At 35.3% G+C, this 7,624-nt stretch overlaps 1 pseudogene, besides 1 other annotated feature; it reads right to left on the reverse strand.

The window, feature by feature from the left end:
- Positions 587 to 2,550, reverse strand: ARL2BPP7 (ARF like GTPase 2 binding protein pseudogene 7; annotated as a pseudogene).
- Positions 878 to 1,078: a silencer, noted in NCBI's record as "peak7309 fragment used in MPRA reporter construct". NCBI's record gives its function as "represses an SCP1 promoter by STARR-seq MPRAs in K562 erythroleukemia cells {active_cell/tissue: K562}" and the evidence as "EXISTENCE:reporter gene assay evidence [ECO:0000049][PMID:32103011]".

Raw genomic sequence — 7,624 nt, forward strand, 5'->3', positions numbered from 1 at the left:
TACAATTTTAGAAATAGACTAAAACTGCAGCCGTCTAGCAATTTCTATCAACTACATCTAGAAGCTGAACTCTTTTTTCTCTCCTCTCTATAAATTCTTTGCAGTTTGTTTTTTGTCATTTGAGTAGCTGGATGATGGAATGAGTTTTATGTTTAAATGAAATTATAAGGTCTTGGAGGAAGTGGTTGTGTTTTTTAACTATGGTTTAATTTAAGATCCTGCAGCTGCTGCTCAGCAAATAAGATATGTGTGTGTTCTAATAATCAACCAATATAATGTTCTGCTGTTAGGGTGATGCCAAGTTGATTATGAATATTTGCATAGCAAATTCTAACCACTATTTAAATTATATGCTTTTTCTGCAGAAGCTACTGCAAAGGTCTCTTGGACTGCAAGTTTTCCATTATTCTGTCTGTCCAACTCTGCTCTTTCTCCTGGTTCCTCGCTCTTGGACATGAAGTCATAATTCACTTAACAACCAGAGCTAAAATTTATCCAAGATTCTTGACTCTTTCTTACCTTTGCTTCCATATTAATTGGTCTCAAATCATTAGAAGTATTTTTGAACTATTATTTTATTTTATATTTCTTGTAAAACACCTCAAATTTTATGGATGGTGTAAAACTAGTTAATAAGTGACATATCAGGACAGAAAAACATATAGCTTGTAGCTCATCCTTTAAAATCAGAATGGCCAAGTGAAAGTCAGTACAGATTCTCATTTTTACTTAAAAAATTCAAAGGTACACATTGGGAATTGAACTACTATGTTTTTTTTTCTTCTTTCTCGAGATGTGACATACACGTTTCCTGGTAAGTAATACTCTACCAGACATTGCGCTAAACCAAAGCAGACAGAGAACTAGTAAAGCTGTTTACTACATCTTACCCAGGCTGAGCTAAATCAGCAGAATATCATCTCAGTAAAAGAGATTTTGACAGGAAGAAGAAATTGCAGAGTCACTGTCTACGACATAGAACCTAACTGGTTTATACAGAAAGAATTTTCAGCAAGTATGCACAAACACATTTAACATGCTGTAAGAACAGCATACCTTTTAGTATATTTCTAGCACAAAACATACATTCACTGGTATCCAGTAAAATAGAAATGAATGCCAACATAAGAAATATTTTTGACTTCATAGCACTAAGAACTAAAAAATCACACAGCATATAATACTTTCATCTCCATGTGGGTAATCATGGAAGTTCCAACATCATATCCTCTAGGTTAGCCTGAGTATTCATTTATAAGAATATTTTTTTCAAAAAGAATGTTTGAAAGAGACTTCTAGGTACAGTGGGGCTCATCAGGACTAGCAGAAGACAGTGACACAAGGACTGCAAATGGAGTTGATTTTCACATGTGGCTTTAAGGTAAAGTATATCTGTTTACATTGATTTTTACAGCCAAGATAAGCTGTGATCATAGGAGATTAGAAATCTCAAGACAGACAGCCGGCTTGAGTAACACCCTAAATAAATATCAAAAACCCTATTGAGGCTTAAGGACAGGAACTCTGATTCGTATTAAAAAGAGTTGTGGGTATACAAAAATATTTATGCAAAGCTTGCTGAAATAAAGAGGATTTGTGATGGTGGGTTATTCCACACTGTTGACATACCAACATGTATGCTGGGGGAAGAGATCCTTTAGGTGGAATCTTTGATGTGGGCTTGCTCCAGAAAAGTCTGACTCAGAAGCACATGAGAGAAGTATTTACTTGGGGAGGGGATGTATACTAGGGTTACTAAGCACCAAGGTTAATGAATACTTGAAGGTGTTTCAAGAGAAATGGGTCCGGGAGGATTAAGTCATACTGGTTTTGACCCATCAATACTTAACATGAACAAACTACTGCAGAGCAGAGTCAGTCTTTTCAAGATGTATTCTGTCATCACTAGCTGAGACTATTGTCCTACGGGTCAGTGACATCCAGAATGATCCTATTCATTGGTTGGAGGTAGGACCTAATGCTGTAGATTGTTCTAGAAAGCTGGCCTTGAGGATAATTTGCACAAGTCACCACTAAACCGTCATGTAAGTCTTGTCTCCAGCCTTCTTTTGCTGTCCTGTATTCTAAAAACATTTTTTCAAAAGCTAGAAAAATCTGTAAATGGGAGTAGCATGTTGAATATGTCACCAGCCACTTCATCTTTACCTTGCTGTAACGTTGTTGTAAAAGCTGCCATGTTGAATCCAGGAATCTGCTCCAGAAGCTGTCTTTCAATATACTTTTCCACCAAATAAATATATTCACTAAATCAGGCACACAGTTGAGTTTATTCTCTTCCCGGTCTTAAAACTCCTGGTAGTACTTGTCCATGAAATTTCTCTATAATAACTGGAACTCATCATCCACGATAATGTCCTCTGAATACCCAACCACACAGCACCAAGTTCTGCATCAGAGTCAGAGGAGAAGGAATGTATGAAGCTCTCTTCTTCTAAGGCATTAATTGTGACCATCGCCCCTACACCCATGCAAGCAGACTAGTGGCCTAACGTGCATGGAGGCACGTTGGTCAGCCGGGGAGGAGGCCTCACCAACCAGACCTCCACTCTGCTGCAGCAGGCCCAGACATTTGTTATGGACTCTGAACTATTTTTTAATCTATTTTCAGGGTATCTTCTATGACCACCTTATAATTTAATTATTTTCTAATATCTCTAGGATTAATACCCATCCCATCCCAATCATCCAGATTGAGCTTCCTAAAAAAAACAAATACATCAGGTTGTTTTAAGCAGTTATTTGATTATTTTCAATTACCTGTTTTAATAAAAATAAAAACATTTCTTGGTTTTCTTAAGTATCCCTCTAAATTTTATGATCATACTTTCTAGCTTAATTTCAGCTGGTAACCAATTCGCTTTTTGGACACCACTACAATCACATCAACTCTAAATCACATACTTACCTTTTATATGCTGCCTGGAAACATCTATATTTTCCTTCACCATTCACTAATTCAAATGTTATTTCACTTGTGAAGCTCATATTACTTAACTCACCCTTCCAAGTAACTACTCAAGACTGGTTACTTGAATAACATGTTTTGGAATCTAAAAAATTCAAATCAGTCCAAGTTTAGTTATATAATTTTGAGCAAAACATTTGTCTCTCTGAAACTCCCTCTCCCTTACTGTAAAAAATTGAATATGGTTGTGAGTTTTAGAATCTTCTTGCTCAAGGTGTTACCAAATAGAATCAGAATTGGCATTACCTGGAAACGTGTAAGAAATGAGAAATCTCAGGCCTTACCCAAAACATTTTAATCAGAATGTGCATTTTAACATAATCTTCAGGTTATTGTATGCATATTGATTAAAATCAGGGAAGTACTGACACATTGTAACTGCATCTAGCATTGTCCTCTTCAACTGGAATATACATTCAGCAAATTTTTTTCTCTTCCCATTAGGCTGCTCATCTGTAATACTTTGAATATTATATTCATTTCTTGCAATTATTTTCTTATTTGTATTACACATCTGTTAGATTGTTAAGTCCTCAGTGATGGACACCTTTGTATCCCAAACATTTGGCCTTATGCTGATATATAGTAAATGCTTAATAAATGTTTACCAGCAAGGTGATCAACTCATGTGCAACATTTAAAAGTGTATAATAAATGCAAAATGGTGTTTGTAAACACTGAAATTCTAAATACTACATTAAAAAAATCTAAATTGATTTCAGTGGCCACATGAAGCTTTTGGATGGTGTATATGAGTTCACTTGTTGATCATCACTTTAGAAATTACTCATCTCTGGAGATAAATTACATTTCACTCATTAGTGTGTTTATGAGTCTCACAATCTAATGCAGTGGCTTTTTACTTTCACTTTTAATTATATAATTAATTATATTGCCCTGCAGTGAGCAAAGATAAATGCTACAAAAGACTAAAAATAGAAATGAAAATAAGGGGCAAAATTCTTGTCATATATATCAAAAGGTTACTATAATTTTGGAGAGTTTAGATGTAGATCAACAGGGACCTCAGCAACTCAGGATGGCCTAATAAGGACTGGAATATAAACTCCCTGAAGGCAGTAAGATACCATAATGTGAGGTATTCAAGGGCCACTGTGACCTCAAGATGAGAACCTTGGGAGAATTTCAGATAAGCATTATTCCCAAGGACAATGGCTGGCATGTCAAATTGAAGTTGTTAAAAAACAAACATTTATTAAATGGATGAATCATTATTTCATAAATCCATAAATCCATGAATTCATGATTCATAAGGAATCATAAAGAAATTGAGCAGGAAGCATTACTTCAGAAGAGTTTCACAAGGAGTAAAGAATATTCAAAGTTGGAAAATTAGATTAAAGATTATTTTTAAATGCTTTGGAGTTATCTCAAATGTGCTTGCAGACAATTTTCTCAGTTACCACACAGCACTCAATAATTTCTGTTGCCACTTTGCTTAGTTCTATTCCTGTGAAAGAGCACTGACCCTTTTATGGTTACAACTAGTCTTTTCTTCTGTGCAATGCCATCTCTATCACACATTGGAGTTGCTTGGACTGGCAAGCATTACTACCAGAGTTGTCTTAGATCCCTAAACTAACTGAGTCACTGGGTACAACAGTGATTACTTGAGGTTTTGTTGTTGTTGTTTTTATTTTTTCTTTTTTCCCTAGCAATTGCCCCTGCCTCTACTGTGCATGGTTTATTATCTTCCTTTAAACACCAAAGCCTTTTGCACTGGATTCAAGAGGATCTGTATCAGTTAGAGTCCTGGCAAGAAACAAACATACTTAAATTGCATAATTTAAATAAAGTTAAATGAAACAGATAATTTACAAAGGTGAGGACAGGCAGCAAAGTCAAGAGAGTAAGAGTAGGCTTGGGGAGCACATAGATGATATTTAATATAGGTTTCAGACTGTAGGGGAAACTATGTATGATGAGGAGTGAGGAAAACGTTTTTCCCATATTATGGCATTCTTTTATCAGAGTTTCTCAACTATGGCACAATGTCTCTAGACATTGCAAAATGTCCTCAGAGGAACTAAATAATGCCTGGTTGAGGACCATTGTATTGGATGAAAGAACAGCAGAGTTGAACATACTCTGATTAATTTGTTAAAAATTAATTGCTAGTAATCTCACCCCTTATTTCACTCAGTTTATGTCCTGGAGGGAACATGGCATGAAACTTATTAATAGATCATTATTTGGTCTATTTTCATACACATGCCCCTCATTGTTCAGTCTCTTTCCTGTGATACTAATACATTTTTAAATGTATTTTTTCATGCCTTTAAGCCTAAACTAATTCATCTGATGCTCAAACAAAATAGTAATCTCTTAAAACGCTGGAGGAAGAACTGGGCTTATTGCCCGTATAGAGTGATGGTACTTTCTGAAGCGATTTCTAAACTCTATTAAATTTTTACCTTACACATCTGTCCCCTACATAAGATTTGAGTCCATTTTTTTGAGGTTGATGTCCCAGTGTACCATGAAATGCTCAACATATGACTTTCTTGATTTCAAATTATGCTGGCTTCTTATAAAAAAAAACATAACAACTATTCTCTGATAACTGAAGAGTTCACATGGCATCGATGGGTGCATGGTTTGGATTTTCATTGGTAAACATTTCCAGAAAACTCTTCAGTTGCATATACAAATAGACTTCTACACCACTTGAAATACACCAGTTCAAATATGTGGTTAAACTCTAGCAGTGGACACAATTCAGGCTCACAATATATTCCCTACCTATATAGCTATTTTAGGTATATTTATAGTATACATAATCATATATTCTTTGAAAAGAAAAGGAAAAATTTTGCCCTTGATAGTCCCAGCAAAGAAATCAGCCCCACTAATTACTGACTTTCTTTTTTTTCTTGTTTTATTTTATTATAATTTAAGTTTTAGAGTACATGCGCACAATGTGCAGGTTTGTTACATATGTATACATGTGCCATGTTGGTGTGCTGCACCCATTAACTTGTCATTTAGCATTAGGTATATCTCCAAATGCTATCCCTCCCCCCTACCCCCACCACACAACGGTCCCCAGAGTGTGATGTTCCCCTTCCTGTGTGCATGTGTTCTCATTGTTCAATTCCCACCTATGAGTGAGAACATGCAGTGTTTGGTTTTATGTCCTTGCTATAGTTTGCTGAGAATGAGGGTTTCCAGTTTCATCCATGTCCCTACAAAGGATATGAACTCATAATTTTTTATGGCTGCATAGTATTCCATGGTGTATATGTGCCACATTTTCTTAATCCAGTCTATCGTTGTTGGACATTTGGGTTGGTTCCAAGTCTTTGCTATTGTGAATAGTGCCGCAATAAACATACGTGTGCATGTGTCTTTATAGCAGCATGACTTATAATCCTTTGGGTATATACCCAGTAATGGGATGGCTGGGTCAAATGGTATTTCTAGTTCTAGATCCCTGAGGAATCGCCACACTGACTTCCACAATGGTTGAACTAGTTTACAGTCCCACCAACAGTGTAAAAGTGTTCCTATTTCTCCACATCCTCTCCAGCACTGACTTTCTTACAACACGGAAGTGGAGACATTTGCCCAAACTCATACTCTAGTGCAGCATCCTGTCTTTGGATATTGGTATTGTATATATTTGACTTTATAATATATAAACTTATCTCTTTTGTGAGTTTCTACATTATAACTCCCTGCGTCCTGACTCCCCCAAAGAGATATTTTTGAAGTTCTAGCCATGTCAAGGAGAATCAATGATATTGTGAATATCTTTATCTGTATTCTGAATTACTACGTGAAATATCCTGATATTGAATTTCGTGGTTTCTTTAAATACAATAATATATGTTGTAAAGCTCTTTCCAGATATTAATTTTATAATTATAATTATCACCATTATTATTAATGAGCTAAAAGGATAATCACATGATAATGAGATGCCCTGTCAGTTCCAACTAAAACAGTATTTGTTATTGTCAAACCTTAGACTTGTGGCAGTACAGGTAGAATAATGTCTTAAATGTCTCAGAAAAATTCCAAGTGAAGTTGAATTCTCTAGACTCAAAAGAATAAGCTTGTTCTGAACCTGAATGTGTTAAGCTGTATGGATTTCTAATGGTAATGCAAACACACTTTTACCAGAGATTAGCACAACATCCTCTTTTAGATATTAAAATCTTATAAATTGTATTCCTACTTGAGTTTGCTATCTCTTCAGCATATAAGAGCCTGTTTTAATTTTGCCATCATGGTAGTTAATAGTGTTGAAATGACTTTCCCAGTACACAAAGCTAGTCAGAAACAAAACTCGAATGTAAATCTCATAAATCTGAGAATTGTGTGCTTTACAGAATAACATCAGTAAAATGGATAAACTCAAGACAACATACCCAAATCACTCATTAATGCAAGATGAGGGGAAAAAACAGTTCATTGCTCATTTAAAAAATACTTTTGGTAGGAGGTGTTTATGTACAATTTGCTCCAAGGTATTAAGAATGAGGGCATTGCCTCAAAGGCTTATGAGAGCATTGAAACTGTAAAAATATAAGAAACTGTCATAAGTATGTCCACTGGTTTTTAAAATAGAATAAAGTGATCTTTGGATGATTTTTGAATACCATGCAGATCCTT

Source organism: Homo sapiens, chromosome 9 (assembly GCF_000001405.40).
Source record: "Homo sapiens chromosome 9, GRCh38.p14 Primary Assembly".
NCBI lineage: Eukaryota > Metazoa > Chordata > Mammalia > Primates > Hominidae > Homo > Homo sapiens.